We start from the raw sequence: 22,125 nt of genomic DNA on the forward strand, positions 1-22,125 counted from the left end.
TCTCATAACTTAAGAAGTCTTAACTATAACCAAGGTGGATCTGAGAAATTCAGTCTTACACTTCTCTCACATCTGCTTTTGTTTTCTCTACTGTCTTTACCTTAAAAGAAAAATAAACAGCAAAACATTTATAAAATATTAAGAGAGAAAATGAAAAAACTAGCCCGAACTCAGTCTCTCAGTTTCCTTAATCATCCAATCATCCAATCTTTAGCTGTCTGTTTCATCTATTGCAGAAGCCTAAAGACAGCAGTGATGAAACAAAAATCTCAGTAACATAACTAAAGAATAAGAGGAAACTGTGGACAAATGACTAGCAAACAGCAAGTTTTTGAAAGAGGGTCAAGGATAGGGCAGATGTTTCCTTAATACATTTCTGTAAGCTAAAGGTCTATTAATTCAGTTATTTATCAGAATGCCATTTGGTAAAATACCTCCTCTAAAACACTGAATGTAATACTAAATCTTTGACAGTTGGAATGGGTTATTAGTTTATTTCCAGGAGTTGTTTAAAAGACATAATCATAACAAAAATAGTACAGAAACAAAGTGACTTTACCATTTGGGATGTCAGGTTTATAATTCACATTATTTTCAAATAGCAATTCTGTAGGACAGGATTTTTCATGAGTTGGAAGTTAAGACAGAGGAATTGATACTAAGTTTTGTTATCAGCTTGACTCTTGTGGAATACTTTTCTACTGCATTTCTGTATTTGAAGTCTTGTTAATTGTCCTCTCACAGAATAAAGGCTAGAAGAGAGGTTCTATGAGATTCTCCCCCCCCTTTTTTTTTTTTTTTTTGAGATGAGGTCTCACCCAGACTCGACTCGAACTCCTGGGCTTAAGGGTTCCTCCCACCACTGAGCCCCGCTGAGATTCTCTTAATGTGTGCTCCAACATCTTCAAGAGGAATGAAAAAAGATATAAGTCCTTCATTGCAATAGAAAGTAGATCCAATAATAAAAAAAAATCCTAAGTATATTTGCTTTTATGAAATTGTGATTGTCTTTGTTATTTTTCAAGAGAAGTTTATTTTTAGTATTAAATCAGTCCTTGAACTGGTATCAAGGAAAAAGATATCTCACAGAAGAGTTTTCTTTCTGCAAGCAACTGGCAGAAATGTGACATGTTTGATTATGTATCCATTTGTATTCCCTATGTATTTTAATGTTTCCCAAACTGTTGTTCATCATAAAATGAAAAATATGTAAAGCTCTGTTTAATTATGTCTTTGCATATCCATGTACTCTTTTTTTTTGGCAGGTGGGGAAGGTAGCTTTAAATACTCTATTAATTTGTGTAGGCTTTCTTGATTTTGTCATTTAAAAAAGATTTCATACATTGAGATAGATGTGTATTATAGACATCATCTATAGGCTCTTAAAATGAAATTGCTGTTTCCACAATTAAACAAATTCCTTGCAAGATTAGTCAGGAAGAGAAACGGAAATATACCAAAATATAACAAAGTATATTTTAGAAAATATCAAAGCACTATAAATACCACCCTCTTCTCCATCAGGTGCAGACTGTGATTCCTCCCTAAATTATAGATCTGTGAGTTTGAAAGAACAGAAGGAATTTGATAACATTTCATTGCAGCAAAGTTTTTGCCAAACCGCTTTTCACAGAGCCCTTGTATCTTACATCTCAGTGTTTCTGAAAGAGCCAAAATTAGTTCTTATTGATGCTCAAGCAACTGAGGAATTATGAGCATTCCATTAAATAAGGGTACCAGTTTGTAACTATGTCATTGCATGTTAATACTTTTTGATTCCCCTAATGACTAAATATGGTTCTCAATGTGTGTGATTTCCATCTGAATCAAAGGGAGTCATGTACACAAAGCTAGAACTTGATGTAGTGCTACTTTGAAATATAAAAGAGTATTTCCACAACACATGCCTTCAAACTTTAAATGAAACCCATAACAGATGTGAAAAAAGAATTATGACAAGGACAACCTAATATAAGTTTTATAAATTTTAGGAAATGTCATCTTTTTACTGGTTTCAGAGACTTTTTCAAATGTTTTAAACACAATTTTCAGATAACAATAATGAAAAGCTGAGCCCCAAACCAGGGACAGGTGAACCAGTTTTAAGTTTGCACTACAGCACAGAAGGAACAACTACAAGCACAATAAAACTGAACTTTACAGATGAATGGTAAGTTAATATTTTTGTAAAGATGTTCTTAGCCATTTTGTAGGATTGTATTAGATTTTAATTTTTAACACTTCGTCATCTTTATGTTTTGTTTTGCTATAAGGTATTGGTTTTCAAACTTGAGTGTGCTTCAGAATCACTGGGAGAGCTTGTTAAGATGCATATTACTGGACCCCACTCTCAGAATTAGGTTTGGAGTGGGGGTCTGAGAATTTGCATTTTTAAAAACTTTCCAGATGATGCCGGTGCTGCTCATCCTAGAATATTTCTTCTGATAGAAAATGCAAAAGATAATACTAATAATAATAATTAAAATTAGTGCAAAAATATAAACATTTTGGGACTTTTTGCAGTCGTGGTCCTAGGTAGGTGTATATGTATGATTTTTGTTTTGAGTTTTAGAATATAATTTTAGTGATACTAAATATACTGTATTCTCCCCTGCATTTGTTTGACTTTATAATAAATATTCCCATGTTACTACTTAGTTTTAATAAATATTATTTTACTAGCTGTGTAATAGTCCATCAAGTAGATGTTCTATAGTTTACTTAGCCATTTTCATTTAATTGGGCAGTAAATTTGTTTACCATTTTTTACCAAATAAGGCTTTAATGAATATCTTTGCTTATAAAGCCTTTTCCTGCCTTCAAGATTATTTGAGAGATATTTCTGAAATGAACTATATCTAGATTAAAAGATATTGCCAAATTATTTCCAAAAGAATCTTTACTTACTATAGTCCTACTAGACACATGTAGAAGTATACGATTTACTGTCTCCAGGCTAGTGTTCAATATATTTATTTATTTTTAACTTCTATATTTGATTTAAAAATACTTTTAGTATTTAATTGATTATTAGTAAGGTTGAACTTTTTCTTTATTTAATGGTCATATAGCTTCTCTTTAATAATGTTTCTGATCATATTTATTGCTCATTAATCTAATGAAACTTTACATTTGAGAAAAGCAAGTTATGTAAGCTTTTTATACTCTTTCCCACTATCTCATGACCATTTGAATGAGAGAGCATACAAAATTTTTAAACTTAGGAATAGTAATCTATTAGTTAATATATTGATATAGTATTTCTTAATATATAATATAGTTGTATAATATTTGTTAATATATAATTATACCAATTGTTTAATGACAATATATTAATTATTCATAATTAATATATTAATATATTAATATATTAAATATTTAATTGTATATTAATATATGATCATGTTATCTGTTACTATAATATATGTAATATAATATAGTTATGTATTGTCTTAATATGTAATGAATTATATGTTGATATGTGATATTACTTTTATTTAAATTCACTGGTTTCCATTTGTGTTTATGTATGTGTGTATTTTATATTAAAATATTTGATTAAGTAGGATCTTAAAATACTATTGGATATCTTCTATGTTCCGGGGACTATTCTAGACATTGGAAATACATCAGTGAAATAAAGTACTTAAAACCCCTGCCTTATTGGAACTTACATTCTAGATGGAGGAAGTTTATTATAAACATAATTAATAAGTGTACCATATAGTATGTTAGAAGGACAATGGAGGAAAATAGAGCAGGTAAAAGTGATTGGGAAACCTAGGCATCATTGAGAAGGTGACATTTGGGCAAAATGTCACTTGAAGAGTGAGAAGGAGTGAGCCACGTATTTATATCTAGGGGAAGAGCATTTGGGGCAGAGAGAAAACCAGTACAAAGACTCTGAAGCAGAAGCATCAGACCTAGTATGTTCAAGGATCTTAAGAAGACCAGTGTAGCGGGAGTGGAGTGACCAGTGGAGAGAAGAGTAGTAGATAAGGTCAGCCAGGAAATTGAGGAGGATATTTAAAAGGAAAAGGTTATTTCTGGTTATTGTGTTGAGCATATGCCATCAGTAGAAACCAGAAGAACAGTTAAAAAGCTATGGCAGTAAGAAAGGTGAGAGGTGGTGGTGGCTTAGACAAGGATGGGAGCAGTGGAGGTGGTTTAAAAAAAAAAAAAGTGATGGGATTCTAGATATATATTTGAAGGTGCAGCCAGTAGGACTTTATAAGTCTTAGTGCCTGACCATTTAAAAATTGTGATGTTTGTGGCCCTTTTTCTTAATACATAATTTAAGATGACAGTAGGTCATCGTACTTATCACGTCTTTTCCATTCTCATGTTTCTGTACACAAGGAGCTGGCATCTTCTGAAGAATCTTATCTAAACTTTTTGGGCTTTTTTTTTTTTTAGAGAAAATCATTAGTCCCATTCTTCTTTTGAATGCTACTTTTCCTTCTCTAAAAACTGACCATGAATTATATTCTCATTCATCAATTTCTTATTTCTTTGTCAGAAAAGCAGTTAGCATTTTTTATTATTATGCAAGTATTCAACATTCATTGTAAAAAAAAAAAAAAAACCAAACAGGCAGAACTTAAAAAAAAAAAGTATACAGACTTTTTCATCTATATCAGGATTGTCTCTTGCTTTTATTTTAGTTTCTTTGGCAACAGATGAGGCAATAGAACATGCTAAGAGCTTGGACTGAAATTGACAAGTTTTTGAATCTCTCTAAATCTCAGTTTTCTCCCTTGAAAACGGGCATGTTTAATAGAACCTACTTCATAGGTTTAGTATGAAGATTTAATGAGATCATGCAGAGAAAGTACGTAGCACTTACTAGCACATTGATTGGCACCTGAGAAGGCCCTCATTGATTGTTAGCTACAGTTCTCATCTTTTGTAAATTGTCTTTCAGATACTTTGCCCAGTTTTCTATGGTGTTTATCTTTTTCTTATTGCGTTATTAGAGCTATTTATTTATTATAGAATTAAATGAGGATTATACCATTTGTCTTTCATTTGTTGCAAATATTTTTCCCAATTTGGTGTTTGTTTTTCAGTTTACTTACAGTGGTTTTGCCTTATGGTTTCTGCCTGTGATAGCATGCATAGGAAAGCCTTGTTATTCCTAGAATTAAGGGAAAAGGTTCTTATATTCCTCTCATATTTTCTATAATTTAGTATCAAAAACTGTATATTCCTTCTAGAATTTATTTTCCCATAAAGTATAACGTGAAGCCATAGCTTTGGTTTTACCACATGGCTGTTTTCTTGTCTCATTACCATTTATTGAATAATCTTTTTATTTCTGTGTGATTTAAAATGCCATATTAACGTATGTTAAATATATTTACTCGGTTGCTGTGTCTTTTCCACTAATATGTCTCTATTCCTACTCAGTACCATAATATTTTAATTACTATAATGTATACACTAAGCGTTTTATTCATGCCTGAATCATAGCTTTCTCAATGGAAAAAATAAATATATATATACCACCTTAGCTTTTTTTTGCCAAAATAGCTATATATTCCTTTCTGGTTTAAAAGAAATACATGTTTGTCGCGCACACACACACACACACACACACACACACACACACACACAAATTCAGTATAAAAAATTTACCTGCAGTAATTCTACTGACATGACACTCAACACTGATGCATAGCCTTCCTGACATTTTTCTCTGCATATATACACCCATATGAATATACAGTTTTAGTTAAATAATATTATATATGTACTCTCTTTTTTTTAAAAAGTCAATTTGACTTCTGCAGTCAGCCTAAAAGAGTTTTTGTCATGGCAAAAAGTCCATGATCGTTTGTATTGTTTATTGAGTTACTGGTATTTGTCTATAATTAATGTTTTTTTAAGTTACTGTAAATCTTACTTTTTTTCTTGTTCACATTTATTTTAAACTTAAAGAATTGTTGCATTTCTATGAACTTAATTTAAATCTCAGTCAGATTGTTATACATGTCCTCTTTCTCATTCAGTCCTCTTGTTACACATATGCCATGATTTGTCACAGAATACTTATTGAAAATTATTTCTTTAAAAATTGGCCTCGTATTCCGCTATAGCTAGAAATGCTAATAGAACTATAGTCATCATCAGGTGAGTATTAAAACTGAAGCAGAAAATATTACCCTGTCCTTCTACAGAACTATGATGCTCAGTCACCTGCCATGTTTGAACAGCAGATCAGAACTGGAAGTGATCCACAGGGAGCAGTTCAAAAGACCAAAGAACTGGCCAGGCTTTTGTTCAAATACTAATTTTAAAGTAGCCTGGAATAACAGAGTCTAGAAGGGCATATGATAAAAATCTGTATAACCATTAAGGTTTTGGATATGGTGAACCATCTGTAGTGAAGACAAGAAAGGAGACAATGTAGTTCACTTAAAATTCAATAGAGAGACATGTAGAAATACATACTAGATAATGAAAGGATCCAAACAGTGAAGAAGCAGTCCCTTTATATTTTTGAATTTTTTTTCAAGAGTAAAGTGTGTTATGATAGTCATCTTGATTTGTTTGAAATGATGTTTACAAATGCTATTAAAATTATAAATCCTACATTTTACTTGTGAATTTTTTGGTCTACCTTTCTAGTTGTAAAATATAAAAATCCTAAAAGATCATATTGATTAACTTCTTGGTGGAATCACTTATCTTGTTTTGATGATAGGAGCAGTATAGCATCAAGTTCTAGAGGAATTGGGAGCCATTGCAAATCTGAGGGTCAGGAGGAATCTTTCGTCCCACAGAGCTCAGTGCAACCACCAGAAGGAGACAGTGAAACAAGTAAGGTGTTATTTTGCTTTTGTTGTTATAAAATTGCAGCATTGGATGTTTATCTACTTTCCTGTTCCCTTCGATGCTGTATTTTGTTTCTTGTTTTTAATAAATTACTTTTGCTTCTATAGTCCAGCTGTTAAACTGATAGATAGCAAATCCAAAAGATGGGGACCTTAAGCAGTTAAAATGAGGAGACACAGTGAAGCACAATCCTCTTTGTGGACACAGTGGCCAGGATAGTTGTTCATCATACTATAAATGGATGAGATATAAATGTTAGTTTGAATTAGTCTTTATCATTTTTATACCTAGCAATGAAATCCACTGTATTTGTTTTGGTTGTATATGTGGTTTATAGAGGGGGAAAAAGGAATAGAATCTAAACAAGTTACGAGTGAATCTATTTAATACCTGAAGTGCCACTTAAGGGATTTTTCAGAACCCTTTTCTAATAGAATATTTTTATATGACAATTACATGAAATTTAATGTCTAGCACAGAGACTAGAACACAGTAGATGTTCAATAAATGCTTGATTAATGAAGGAATAAATGAATTATATTTCTTATAAATGTGTAGGTACCTTAGTATAACAGAGTTTAAAATTAAGTATGTGTAAGACAGCTATCTGGTAAGCAAATGTCCAGTAAGGAACATTAAAGACTGATCCTTCATGCATCTGACAGTTAAATTCCAGAATTAAGTATTTTCAGTGGCCAAAACAGAATTTATAGTATGGTCAGCTTAACTACTTGTTCATGATAGTTTAGATTTTACCAAATACATGATAGAGGGGCAGAAAAATGCTCAGTTTTAAGTTTAGATTTCGGGAAGGTTAGTAAAATGCAGGATCAGGTAATTTCAGCTGTAAGGGATAGTCTAAAGCAGAGATTCTGCACATAGAGTTCATGAAGCTCAATTCCTGGGCTTCAGGAAGAAGCAGTGGGCCCATCCGTCCATGATAGTGTTTGTACAATTTTGTGTGCAAATACATATTTGCCTTGTACTGAGGGGAGGTTTTAGCTGAATGTCAAAGGTTCCTATGACTCAGAAAGGGTTAAGAACCATTTATCCATAGGAAAGCTGGAGTATTAAGTTGATGTTTACTTTTCTAAAAAAATCTGGATTTAATGATACATTTGGCCCTACATGCCCATGGATTCCATGGAAATACTCCCTCCCAAAATAACAATATGACAATAAAAAGGAACATAGATTTAAAAACAATAACAGCGTAGCAACCGCTTACATAGCATTTACATTGCATTAGGTATTATAAGTAATATAGAGATAATTTACAGTATAAGGAAGGGTATGCATAGGTTATATGCAAATATTATGCCATTATATATGAGGGACTTGAGGAGCTGCAGATTTTGGTATTTTCAGCGATTTTAGAACTAATCCCTCATGGATACCAAGGGATGACTGTAATTTGGTTTACTTACAGAAGCTCCTGAAGAATCATCAGAGGATGTGACAAAATATCAGGAAGGAGTATCTGCAGAAAACCCAGTTGAGAACCATATCAATATAAGTGAGTTGCTCCCTTTAGATAATTGCTTTGTATGGGAAAATAAAAAGCCTTAATCTATGTTAATCTCTCTATAGTTAGAGGCCATGTTCAAGTGTATTGTGGAAGTTTCCTCCCCTTATAGAGGAATTAGACATCATATTAGAATGTGTTTGTGAGCTCCTAAGTTAGGTTAAATAATTAGTATTGCCCACATTACCACCTGTTACATACAACTTTATTTTCTGACAGCACAATCAGATAAGTTCACAGCCAAGCCATTGGATTCCAACTCAGGAGAAAGAAATGACCTCAATCTTGATCGCTCTTGTGGGGTTCCAGAAGAATCTGCTTCATCTGAAAAAGCCAAGGAACCAGAAACTTCAGATCAGACTAGCACTGAGAGTGCTACCAATGAAAATAACACCAATCCTGAGCCTCAGTTCCAAACAGAAGCCACTGGGCCTTCAGCTCATGAAGAAACATCCACCAGGGACTCTGCTCTTCAGGACACAGATGACAGTGATGATGACCCAGTCCTGATCCCAGGTGCAAGGTATCGAGCAGGACCTGGTGATAGGTTGGTAAATTTTTAATTAACATGAACTGTAAAAAATGTATTTCACAAGGATTTGTTTGAAGTCATTGAAGGGAATCTCTCCATTTTTGACAGTTGCTTCCTCTAAGAGTGTCTCATTCATATAAACTTAAAGAAACTTTACAGTTTACTGTAAATGATTTTACGTATTATATTCTTTGAGCACTGTGCATTAATAGGGAAATAAAAAGTCTTCATTCTCCATATCTCTAGCACTGAGGCTTGCTTCTGAATTTACAGATCAAGAGAAAAGAATGTTAAGAATGACCCACAGGTTATTTATGAAGTCAAGGTTATACTTAGCTCTCAGATTATCTTGTAGATATCCAGGCCTTTATCAGTGTTGTTTTGGTTTTAATGTTAATTTTTTCTGCTTTTCTATTGACCCTGGATTAAGGTAGTGTGTTAGTAGTTCTGTTTTTGGGAACACTGTTTTTCTTTGATTTCTACTAAACTTAGTGACTGAATTTAGAAAATGAAAAATTATACCAAATAAATACCATAGCAGCAATAAAAAATTGAATTGCCAACATGTTTTTATAGTTTTTCTATATTTTATGTGATCACAAGGATATATTTTCTTTTGTGGGAGTTAAAATAAATTTTTAAAGTATACTGCATTTCATACTCATGGAAAACTATTTCTATTATTAGTGCTATCATATCTTATTGTAAGTTCTGTCCTCTTTCAGAGAACCTAGTTTTAATCTTAAAATCCTAGTTTACAAAGGAGTGAGATTCTATTTGAAATATTTCACATTTTATATGCTCAATATATTGCTGTTTATAAGATACCCTAAAGTATCTGTCAACTGAAAAATATAATGAAAGATTAATTTACCACTCATAGTCAAGAGCATGATGATGGGTTTGAATACTGGTTTCACCACTTACCAGCAGTGTTTTTTCATTCAAATTACTTAATGACTCTTAAAGATTCAGTTTCTTATCTATAAAATAGGGTTATGATTATCTAAAATTATTGTAAGAATTTTAAAAAAATCTATCAGTCAATCATGATGTGACCTGGCTCATGTTAATAGCACTAATTAAATGATAGCTGTATTAAACAATCAAGATAGTCTATGAGGCCACTTTAATTTTTAAAAGAATTACAGTAAGAATGACTCTAGGGATAAAGACTGAAAGAAGACAGGCAAAAATCCTGAAGAGGATAGCTTGCAGCTCAGGGGAACTGCCTTTTCTTAACTATGAAAGGGTATGTTTCTTTCTTTAGTCATATTTGGGAAATGTTTACTTTGCCATGGCACTTTTTTTGTAGATATGAAGCAAGAATTTCCCATGTTTATACTTAGAGATTAATCAAACATCTTCTCTTTACCTGTACACAGTAATCTTGAGCATTCTTAGTATATATTTTAGGCAAGTAAGACTTAGTTCTATTTCTTTCCATACCCAGAGGGAGTTCCTTAGAATGTCATTACCACTTAATTTATGCAGATGAGGTTAGCAAGCTTAGCACAATTTGAAAATCAAACTGATAATTTCCAAAATCAAACTGATAATTTCCAAAACCCAGGGTTGAGAGCTAGATTCTATAATTAAGCTTGTACATTTATGGCCTTCCATTTATATAAATGAGCTAATGTCTTATTTTTCTACATTTAAGTAGTAGAACATGATACGGAGGTCATAATTGAAAATTAAATTTAAGTGCCCAGTTTCTAGTAATGTTTTTAATGGATATTAGACACTTTGAGAAAGTCATAACTATTTAGCAGCTTCTATGCAGGCTAATTATAACACTTAATACCAAGCCTGCTTTATAGCTGAGGAAACTTAGGTGCTAAGCAAAGGGTTTTGTATATTCTAGAGCTAAGGAGTTTTGTTTTTTGAAACACAGTACTATAACATTAATGAGAAAGGAGGATTTGAGGGAGGGTGGGTCCTAGAGAATACAGAAACTGTAATCTTTCTATAGATCTTTATCATCTTCATAATACTTAGATGATTTATATGTTTTAGGGATTCTTTTAGCATTTAGATCTGTCACAAAGTTGGTTCCCAATAGCCTCATTGACCCAAGGAAACCCAGATGCTGAACTAGACTAGCAGAATCTTTTAGAAGAGAGATAATCAGTGACAACAAACAGCCTGGAACTGATCCCACTTCATGCATATACTCTTGAATTCATACTTTCATGGTTAAATCCAGATTTGAAACCACTCTGGGATCACATTTAGTTCCCTGCTTTTTAAAAATTAAATATTATTTAATATTCTGTACACTCATTTGAGTATTTAGCCTATGTTGGTCCTACATGGTATTTTGTTTTGTAAGATATAGTAGTAAACTTCCTGAAGAGTAACAGAAGAACGATAAAATTCTTATCCTTCAAGAAACTTAATTATTTATGAATAAGAGAGAATACCGAAGCCATTTATAGGAACATAGAAAACATTTAATATATGAAAGTAAATACAATTATATATATATGTGTGTGTGTGTATATATATATAAAAGATGTGTATACTGAGGTAATTAGAAAGTGATTAGAGTAACAATTACATTAATTTTCCTTTGAGATTTGCATTATTTTCTAGCTCTTTACCAAAAATTTGTAAATGGTGTAAATATTTCCTCTGACTTTTATCTAAATCGGTTATTATAATTCTTAACTTTTTTGGCACCATCCTGATTTAATCTTGAACAACTGTAAAAAAGTATACTTTTAATATTTCTGCACCTTTCTAAGGGCTCTTCATCATTGACACTCCTGCCAGTTTATCTTACTTCTCAATTTAGCTGACTTTTATTCTAAAGAGAGAAAGTTTAAGAGATTTTGCTTCTTAAGAACATGAAAAGAATCACTTACCAGCTTGTAATTAGTCCTATGATTTTGGAGAGTTTCTGTTTCCCAAGAGACTAAGGGTTGTGAAGCTCTGTTGTAACAATCATACCATTTGGTTCCTAGAGTCCAAGGATACATTGCACACATGGATGAAATGCCCACCTAAAAGGATGTATGTCTTAAAGTTCCCTCCATGCTGCCATTTGCAAAGCCCAGTCAATATTAGTTTAGCTGGGGTAGAGAAGTGGTCCTAAAATTAAATATTATACAAGTGTATACTTAATTTGATCTGTACTTTATATGAAGAACTATATAGTGGACCTCATCAGTTTTTGTTCCAAATTTAATTTTTAAAAGGAAACTTTAAAAGGCTTTATAGCTAAGTCATTTCTGACAAATTTACTGAAAATATCAGAACAGTTCCTTGCAATACAGAGTAATGATTTTTAAAAAAATATTTACATTCTTATAATTTGGTTAAATAAATGACCCAGGTTTTCACTTTTGGGCTGAGATCAAGCATGAGAAGGAAATGTCTTAGAAAATGAAGACCTTAACAACTAACATAGATATTTTTAAATGGAATGCTCTTCTCATTAACTACAGCAAGTCTATGTAAATGTAACTGGGAGTCTATAGCAGAGCAGCAGACTTACTCCTAAAGAGCCATATAGTAAATATTTTGGCTTTGTTGGCCAGGAGACAAAATGGAGACCATTATGGTAGGTACTTATATGACCATTTAAAATATTAACATTTAAAAATGTAAAAACTATTCTTAGCCTAAGGTTCATTTCAAAAATCGGCATTTGGCGGAGATCTAGCCCAAGAGCCATAGCTTGCAAATACCTGCTCTATAGTAATCAGTGTTATAGAGAGAAATCAAACTATAGTCTGTGGTAAAATGCCTCTACTGGCAAAAATCCAGACTTTGAAACAATGAAATAATATGAATCTCCACATATTTGGGTTCCCTTTAACTTTGCGTAAGGCAAGAACATGGAACAGTAAATGGGAAATAAATTGAAAAAAGACAGAAAGAAATGTTTGTTCTCTAATCATGGTGTTTAAAAAAATAAAATTAGTCCTAATGTCAAAAATAAGTCTGACTTAGGAAAAAAGCAAAACAAAGCAAAAAAATAGTATGTGTATCTTTTAGTGATTTTATATACTGTATTTATTTCATTTTGTTTTATTTTTTTGAGACAGGGTCTTGCCCTGTTGCCCAGGCTGGAGTGCAGTGGTATGATCATAGCTCACTGCAACCTCATACTCCTGGGCTCAAGCGATCTTCCTCCCTCAGTCTCCCAAGTAGCTGGGATTACAGGTGCATGTTGCTGCACTCTGCTAATTTGTTGTTGTTGTTGTTGTTGTTTTTTTTTTTTTTTTTTTTTAGAAGAGACAGTCTCACTATGTTGACCAGGCTGGTCTTGAACTCCTGGCCTCAAGCCTCAGCCTCCCAAAGTGCTGGGGGACTATAGGCGTGAGCCACCGCGCCTGGCCATATACTGGGTTAAGAAACGTAAATATATGCCCTTGGAATGAAAAGAGTGTGGTTGAGATCTCTGTTTAGATAATCTGCATATAATTTTTTTTTTTTTTTTTTTTTTTTTTGGAGACGGAGTCTCGCTCCCTCACCCAGGCTGGAGTGCAGTGGGGCAATCTTGGCTCACTGCAAGCTCTGCCTCCCAGGTTCACGCCATTCTCCTGCCTCAGCCTCCCAAGTAGCTGGGACTACAGGCGCCTGCCACCACGCCCAGCTAATTTTTTGTATTTTTAGTAGATACGGGGTTTCACCGTGTTAGCCAGGATGATCTCGATCTCCTGACCTCGTGATCCGCCTGCCTCAGCCTCCCAAAGTGCTGGGATTACCGGCATGAGCCACCGCACCCAGGCTGTATAATTTTTTTTTTTTTTTACAATGCCAAATCTGTTGTAAGTGATTTGACGGCCTGATTGGTAGCTCTTACTGTTTCTAAACTCAAGAGAAAACCTAAATTACTCTCTGAAAAAAAAAAACAAGCATCTAAGAAAGCTTCCTGAATAAGTCCTCACATAGTCTTGAATAGTTTTTAATTATAGCCTCAGTTAGGATGATCTAACAATTTTTTCCCTAAAGAGTGATTTATCCTATATTGCCCTTTAATAACTTTTAAAGTGTTATTTTCATAGAAATTTGGTTCCATATACCTACTCTGGACCATGGAGCATAGCCCTCACTTTTAAAGCCAAAATTCCTTGTACTGTAAATTTGGCAGCATTTATTCAGTCATCATTGTAACCATGATTTCCTTATTTCTCATTATTGCAGTTTACTCTTTATTAAAGAAAATTGCAGAGAGAAAAGATGTACTCAAAGAGAAAGAACTGGACTCCTAGGGAGTTAAAAGCCCTGTTATTCTTTGCTCATTTGTTATATAGTCTTGTGGTTAGGCCAAGTGAATTAGCTTAGGGCTTAATTATTTATTTTCCAAAGAGCTCCTCAGCTTTGAGGAGCATGTACGTGTTCCAGAGGATGGTATTCATTATAAGCCAGTGCAGTTTCCCATACTGTGACAGGATTGGGTTCTGATTTATTTAAAAGATAAAAGGGATTAAGTGCAATGTCTTCCTTCTATTCTAGCTTCAATGAGTGTTTCTGTTTCCTTAATTTCTTCATATACATTTAGTTGACTGACATATTCCTTGCTTAATGCCCGAAGTCACAAAGGGAAACAAAAGTTTTTTTTTAAATTGAGATGATTGATGATAAAAAGGGTGTCCTTAATGCTTTAAATATTTGGTTCTTTGAAGTCTTTGTAAGTGATTTCAGTTATTGTGTTCCCTTCACTAGATTTAATATCAGAGGAACAACAATAGGTGATAGAATAATGAGGTAATTCAGTATGTTCCTTCATAATTTTTTTTTTATGATGGATTTGCCAGGTCTTCTTTTGCCACAGCTAACCACCTTTCCTATTAACAGTTAATACTCCCTTTGGACTTACTGAATTCTAAGTGCTAAGCATTGTAAAGCAGGTCGCTTTCCACAAACTATATTTAGCTGCATGCACTGCATGGGGATAGAATGAAAAGAAATTTCCTGTGTGCAGACTGATGTTCACTTCAAATATGTCATATGGCAAAGTAACTATAATCTGAAATGATGTACTTTAAGTATCAGTTACTCTTTTTGGATATTTTGTTGAAGAATGCAATTTATGTTTTTTAAATTTGATTGGGATAACAATTACCAACTTTTTGTTATTCGTATATGCTCCTTTTCCTTGAGCTCAATAACTAAAAATGTACTTGAATCTAAATCTGTGTATAGGTTTCTGATTTTTGCAAGAAAGTTGTTTCCTTATAAATAGTTTAGAAATAGTGTCACATATCAAGATGATATATAAGCCTCAAGCACTTCTCTATTTGGGACATATTTTTGAGTAGATCTTTAAAGTGAACCTCAATGACATCAGTCACCTACTGAAAACCTGTTTTGCTGACAAAATCAACCTTGTACTTAACTCTAGAGGCATATATCTGTTATTTACCATCAGTTTCTAAAACAGTTGAACATGAAACATATAGCAACAATCAGAAATGTAAAGTTTGTAGAGTTCCTAATGAAAAATACAGAAGTCATGAAATAAGCCAAAAAATATAATAGATGTATGGAAATTTCTGGTTATGGTTCATTGTCAGGAGGATTCTCATCTACAAGTCTCAAATTTGTTTTTGCTTCTCAAACTTGTTTTGTTTTGTGCTGTTGTTTCTAGCCTGTTTTAACATTAAGGTATATTTGAAATAACTTTTTCAAATTATTACTAGTTATCACTTTCTTTTTTTTTTTTTTTCCCCAAGATGTAGCCTTGCTCTGTTGCCCAGGCTGTAGTGCAGTGGCGCAGTCCCAGCCCACTACAACCTCTGCCTCCAGAGTTAAAGTGATTTTCCCGCCTCAGCCTCCTGAGTATCTGGGATTACAGGCGCCCACCCACCAGGCCCAGTTAATTTTTGTGTTTTTAGTAGAGACAGGGTTGGTCACCATGTTGGCCAGGCTGGTCTCAAACTACTGACATCAAGTGATCTGCCCATGTTGGCCTCCCAGAGTGCTGGGATTACAGGCTTGAGCCACCGCATCTGGCCTAGTTATCACTTTCTGATTAATTGTATGACAATAAAATGGAATTTGCTTCAGAGTTTTTTGATATCCTGATTTATACTTTTTATCACAAGTACGCAAAGCTGGTTTCTGGTTTTATAATGAAAATTGCAACTATAAAGTACCATGATGCTTTAATTGAGTTTTAGAAAAGCTGAAACACTAAAGTAGAGATTATCATGAACTGATAAACAATGGTAAAGCAGAAAATGTAACAGTTACCTCCCTGTAGAGTGAATGAGGTGAGACTCATTCTTCTCTACTTCATTTTATTTCTTATGTAGAGATTATCTGGTGGAAACTTCTAATTATAAGGCAGTATTTTCCTGCCAGTGAACACACATTTGTTCTGCTTCTCCTTTTAGCTATTAGAGATGTTCAAAGAATGTAAACTTCTGCTTAAGATAGACAAAATTAGAAAAATAAAATTATCACAGATGTTTATATCTACTGCCCGTTATGACTAGTCTTCATTAGGGACTGTCTTACAATGGGGAATGTGTTCTACTATAATCTGCTAAGATTCTGAATGATAGGTACCATATTTCTTTGAATAGTAAATAAAATGGTAGTCATCCCCTATTCTTCATTCTACTTTTATTACCTCATCACCTCTTACCTGGTGTACTGAGGGAGTTCTCCAACTCCTTCTACTCCTGCTTTCAGTAGTTCTCCATTGTTTATGATATAAAGAAGAAACAAACCCAGCTTCCTTGCCTGGTATATAGGGCACTTCATATTATAGCTGCTGCCAAAAATTGGTCATGCTGTCTACATTGCCATACTTGGAGTGTCACTGAATACATTCAGAGGACTATTGGAGTTCTCTGAATACATTATGCTGCCTTAAGTCAGCGTATCTTTACATACTCTGAGCCCTCTAACAGAAAAGACCTCCTATCACTATCACCATCATTTGGGTCACCTCATCTTTCAACATCATCTTAAGCTACATTTCCTGGCCCATATATTCCCTAATCAAAAATATGGGCCCTTATATATACCTACTGTACTACCTATCACAGTGCATTGTATATTTGTATGTTTTCATATATAAGAATGTAAGCACCTTTAAGGACAGTGTAATACATACATGCATACAGAAATAAAAGTTGGCAAAGACACCTTTTTGTCAAAAACTCTAGCTAACTAAATTTTTATTCATATCTCCCTGCATGATATGGGTTTTTGCTTTCTTTCTCTGCTTCCTAAAACTTGAATGAGAAACCAGTGAATTACTGTTTCAGGGGTCCCACGGCCTCCCCACACAGTTGATTGCTTGCTACAAAGACTCAAAAGAATCAAAGGCACTTCAATCATGGCTATGATTTATTATGGCAAGGAAAAAAGATCAGACACAGTGGAAGAATCCAGGCTCAGTGTTCCAAAGTTCTCCCTTTCAGAATGTGCACCTCCCTTCCCAATAAAATACAGTAATACTTCTGTAGTTTTTCTGCCCTGGTGAAGCCTGCTTATAACTCAAAATCCAGGGTGTTTACTGGGGTCTGGTCATGTAGGCACCTCTGCCTGTGTGCCTAACCACAGTCACCTGAATTCCAGACCCAGAAGGAAAGTAGGTGTTCACCACAAATCATGTTATTTTTGCAGTTTACGCAAGCTGGCCCCGCAGGGTTGTGTCCCAGGCAGGCAGAGCAATGTAACATGCCAAAAGTCAAGTTCTCAGACACCAGCCAAGGGCCAGCCTCATAAGCAGACCCTTCTAAAGATAGCAGCATCAGACCTGCTATCCCTTACCTTTATTTACTAATACATTGTAAGGCAAAGAATCCAGTTTCTTGCCCCCACAAAGGAGCAGAAACAGCAAGATACTCTCTAGCAACCCATCTCCCTCACTTATTTCAGATACTTGTAAAGATATATGTTGAAATGACAGCAATTCTAACATATAGAACTTTTTTATTGATAAAGCTAGATAACGCTAACATACTAATAGTATCTTAGTTCATTTCCTGTTGCTTATGATAGAAATCTTCTGGGTAATTAATAAAAGAAATGCATTTTTTACAGTTACGGAGGCTGGGAAATCCAAGGTTGAAGGGCCACAATGGTACAAGCCTTCTTGCTGGCAAGGACTCTGCAGAGTCCCGAGCTGGCACAGGAAATCACATGATGAGAAGGCTAAGCTCAGGCTTCTCTTCCTCTTCTTATAAAGCCACCAGTCCCCACTGACCTGATAACCTATTAATCTATAAGTGAATTAATTCATTCTTGAGAGTGGAGCCCTCATGATCCAATCACCTTTTAAAGACCCCACCTCTCAGTACTGCCACATTGGGGATTAAGTTTCACCATGAGTTTTGGAGGGGACATGCAAACCATAGCACATAGCTTTTACTATAAACCAAGTGTGTGTTTTAAAGCACTTAAAATGTTTATTTTTTAATAACTTTTTTCTAGACTCTTACTTATAGGATTCAATTGGACTGCAAACATTTTAAAATTTATAATTTAAATGTAAATTTCAGCTTCACCCTGTCTGAATAATCACAGATTGCATATAAGAAGATTCAAATTAATGAGGTTTTCTTTTCTAAGAACTACTAAGCTAATATAAGAAAAATGTATACATAGTATAAATTAAAAGAACATACGGGTTTGGTTTTTTTTTTTTTTTGAGACGGAGTCTCACTCTGTTGCCCAGGCTGCAGTGCAGTGGTGTGAACTCGGCTCACTGCAACCTCTGCCTGCTGGGTTCAAGCAATTCTCCTGCCTCAGCCTCCCAAGTAGCTGGGGCTACAGGCATGTGCCACCATGCCCGGCTAGTTTTTTGTATTTTTAGTAGAGACGGGGTTTTTAACTTGATATACTGAAGAACAGTGGTATTCAGAATTATAATGAGCATTTCCAATGAACCATAAATACATGGAATTTAATTTATTCTTTTAATATCTTTTTTCTTATTTATGCCTGGGGAATGCGTCTTTAACACATACCCACAGTAACTTTGATTCTTATAGAAAAGTTTTATAGCTACTATGAAAGTAGAGATATAGAAATGTAATAATTGTTGCAGAAACTCTTCTATTGAAGGAGATGGTGGTGAGGATAGCTATCCTATGTTTGTAAGAACCTAGATCTTCAATCTTTGAATTGAAAAAAATCAGGCTTAAGTTTTTTTTTTTTTTTTTTTTTTTTTTTTTAACGAAGAAGTATTTTATTATTTTGCTGCAAAGCTGTTGCTTCACTGTATAAAAATAGCACCAGCAAATGCAGTGTATCGCAAAATTAAGATAGTGGTGTTCCTCATCTGACACTGTACAAGCAACAAAACCTCTTCACTTCCAGTTATTTCCAATGGAAAGATCATTAAGTATTTCATCCCAAATCCAGGTATGGATACATGCAAGTTACAATATTATATAAGGCTTAAGAATAACAATGTTATCTTTGAATTATGTAATTTTTATAACTAGTTTTTACCATGGATAATTTCATGAATTCTGAACACTAGAGCCTAGTCTAAAAATCATAGGATATTGTGAAAAAGACGCATATTATATTTATCTATAATCATTAGAAAGTTAAAGGGCATTTTCTTTCATTAGCAGTGTTAACAGTAGTTTTTTTTTCCCCATCGGTAATACTAAAAGTTTCTATTCTAAGTCTTCTATCCACCACTAATTTAAGACAACTCTGCTGGCTTGCGTTATTTCATACTAGTTTATTTAGGAGTTCCATTTTCACTCCTCAATAGATTTTATGTATTTCTCATATGCTTCTTCACTCATAAGTTCATCTAGTTCTGAAGGGTTACTCAGTGTCATCTTGATCAGCCAACCATCTTCATAACAAGATTTGTTTACAAGTCCTGGATTTTCTGCAAGAGCTTCATTAATTTCAGTTACTTCTCCTGATAAAGGAGAATAGAGTTCACTAGCAGCTTTCACACTTTCCAAAGCACCAAACTCATCTTGTTTGTTCAATTTTGTCCCAACTTCAGGGAGACTACAATAAACAACATCTCCCAACGCTTCCTGTGCAAAATTGCTGATTCCCACTGTTCCAATGCCATTTTCTGTTGTTACCCATTCGTGTTTCTCTGTGAATTTACGCACCGAGAGCAGAGCGGGTCCAGTGCGTAGCGTACGGACGGCGCCCACCCCCAGCTGCCAGGGCCTCGGCGGGCAGGGCGCGGCGGGTGACGGGACCGCGCGCAGGGTGCAGAGCAGGGCCCGCACGCTCCGCACCACTCGCAGCGCCATGTTCGCAGGGGTGCGGGGGTCGCAGCGCTACGCCTCGGCCACCCGCGCCGGGAGGCGGGGCGGGGAGGGGCCCAGGCTTAAGTTTTTAATAATAAATTCACACTCAATTTATTTTTGAATGGAATAATTTAATTACAGAATAAGAAGATGAAGGTCACTGTTGTCCAAAGTGTTCTGATACTCTACAATGTGGTCACAAAATTTGGGAAATACTACATTGTGTATACCTCTTTGTGAGATTCACAAGAACCTGTAGCGTAATAAAGCCTCTGAGAAGACTTGCAGCAAGAAACCTCTTTAAGCTTTGTTTGGTATATCATTTTCCACACTTACTTTATCATAAGCCTATTTTGTGGAATACCTACAAAAATCCCAAGTTTTAGAAATGCTCTGCTTCTGGATTATTCTAACTACATTCTAGACAAGTATTGAGTTCCTTAGAAACCTGGACTAGGAGAAGCTTTTATTTCCCTTTAGTTTTTCACTGTGTGTTTTGCACAGTAAAGAATTTCTTTCTACAGATTTATTCAAAATTCGCCAGCTATAATTCTAGTCATGTTCTTGTATTCTATCCATGGTACAGTATCCTTTATATAATAACCTTGTTTGGTAACTGAATTACTTAAGTCATTTCATTCCTGGTCCTCTCCTAATCTTTGATTATGCTGTTTTTTCCACCCTAAAAAGTCTTTGTTCTCTTGTAAGGTATTTTAATAATACCTATAATATCAGTTAATTTGTGCCATTCTACCTATGTGTAATGGTGTTTTATGAAAGGGTTTACCATCTTGAAAATGGTATGCAAATTAATTCATATTTTTTAGTGCTATTTAATGAATTTCTGCTTATATTTTAGCCTAGTTTTTTACTAAATGTGACTAGTACTTTTAAAACGGGTTTATAGACTGTTTCTGCTTCATGTAACTTCATACTTTAACCTTGGAGTTATCTCCAAGATTCCAGATTTTCTGGAATATGCAATAGTAAAATACAAAGTCAGGAGTCTAGGTTTTATTTTCTTAGGTTAGTTGTACATCCTTCAGATTTACTCTTTTCCTCCATTAAATGTTTCTTCCAAATAGAATAATAATTGATACTTTGAGCTGTTTCATTATTGCTTTGAAATTGCTGGATAATCAATTTTTTACCTATTATTTTGTTACTTCAATAAACCTGTTATGTGCTAGATACTCTGGTGGGTGCTGGTGATAATGATAACACAACGCCTACCCTCCTTGAGCTCTCAGTTCAGTGGGATACACAGACACATATACATAGTTACAATACAGTAATTGCATTGACAGGGCTTTGCAGGGCTTTGAGAGTATTAAGGACCCCTAATCTAACCTGAGGAAGGGGAGAATTGTATTTTTATAATTCTTGGTTTGTGACACATTATCATTGTTAGTTCATACTTGGCTCCTTTTCTTTCTTTCTTTAGATACCCATGAGCCCACCAACCAATCCAAGAACTAAAAAACTCGCTGTAACTTAAATCTACCTGTTCACCCTATTTTGTCCATCTGCCTACCACGCCAGTGGTAACCAGTGTCCTGAATGTTATGGTTATCATGCCTTGCTTTAAAAAACAAAACATAAACATATAAACATAAAGTTTTACCCACTTTTGAACTTTATATAAAAATGATGTCATACTGTATACAAGACTGGGACTCTTTTTTTTCCTCAGATATTATCTTACTGTGATTCATCCATGTTACATGTAGCTCTTGCCCAATCATTTTTACTGCTATCTAATAATCCATATTTGACTAAACCACAGTTTATCCATTTTCCTGTTAATGGACATTTAGGTTATTTCTAGTTTTTGGTATTAACAGTGCTGCTTTGAGCATTCTGAAATATTTCTCCTGATAACAGTTTTTCTTGCGTATATACCAAGGAATGGACCATTTACAAAATAATTTAAAATTGTTTTCCAAAGTGGGAGTGTAAATTAAATATAATATCTAACAATATTTTTTAAAAATCGTGTTTATTCACATCACTGATTCTTGTTG

General features: G+C 34.3%; 1 protein-coding gene and 1 pseudogene across 25 annotated transcripts in view, besides 1 other annotated feature; one reads left to right on the top strand and one right to left on the bottom strand.

Annotated features, from left to right (window-relative positions):
* Window positions 1–22,125, top strand: part of DCAF6 (DDB1 and CUL4 associated factor 6) — a 212,261-nt gene that overhangs the window by 172,743 nt on the left and 17,393 nt on the right. For 14 of the 25 annotated variants that reach the window (NR_146229.2, NM_001349774.2, NM_001349778.2 and 11 more), the window contains 4 exons: window positions 2,053–2,170; window positions 6,707–6,822; window positions 8,267–8,353; window positions 8,582–8,909. Coding sequence is in view for 22 of the 25 variants with exons in the window: in NM_001349774.2 (NP_001336703.1) it covers window positions 2,053–2,170; window positions 6,707–6,822; window positions 8,267–8,353; window positions 8,582–8,909 (649 nt within the window). In the remaining 3 variants the exon portion in view is untranslated. Of the gene's footprint in view, window positions 1–2,052; window positions 2,171–6,706; window positions 6,823–8,266; window positions 8,354–8,581; window positions 8,910–14,573; window positions 14,616–22,125 lie in introns of all 25 variants that reach the window. The other 11 variants (XM_047425194.1, XM_017001779.3, NM_001198956.2 and 8 more) reach the window with 2 other exon arrangements.
* On the bottom strand, window positions 19,041–20,175 carry GCSHP5 (GCSH pseudogene 5; annotated as a pseudogene).
* Window positions 19,548–20,048: an enhancer, noted in NCBI's record as "H3K27ac hESC enhancer chr1:168025104-168025604 (GRCh37/hg19 assembly coordinates)". NCBI's record gives its function as "activates a minimal SCP1, AML or CMV promoter by ChIP-STARR-seq in naive H9 embryonic stem cells {active_cell/tissue: H9 hESC(naive)}" and the evidence as "EXISTENCE:reporter gene assay evidence [ECO:0000049][PMID:30033119]".

This window comes from Homo sapiens, chromosome 1 (genome assembly GCF_000001405.40).
Source record: "Homo sapiens chromosome 1, GRCh38.p14 Primary Assembly".
Lineage (NCBI taxonomy): Eukaryota > Metazoa > Chordata > Mammalia > Primates > Hominidae > Homo > Homo sapiens.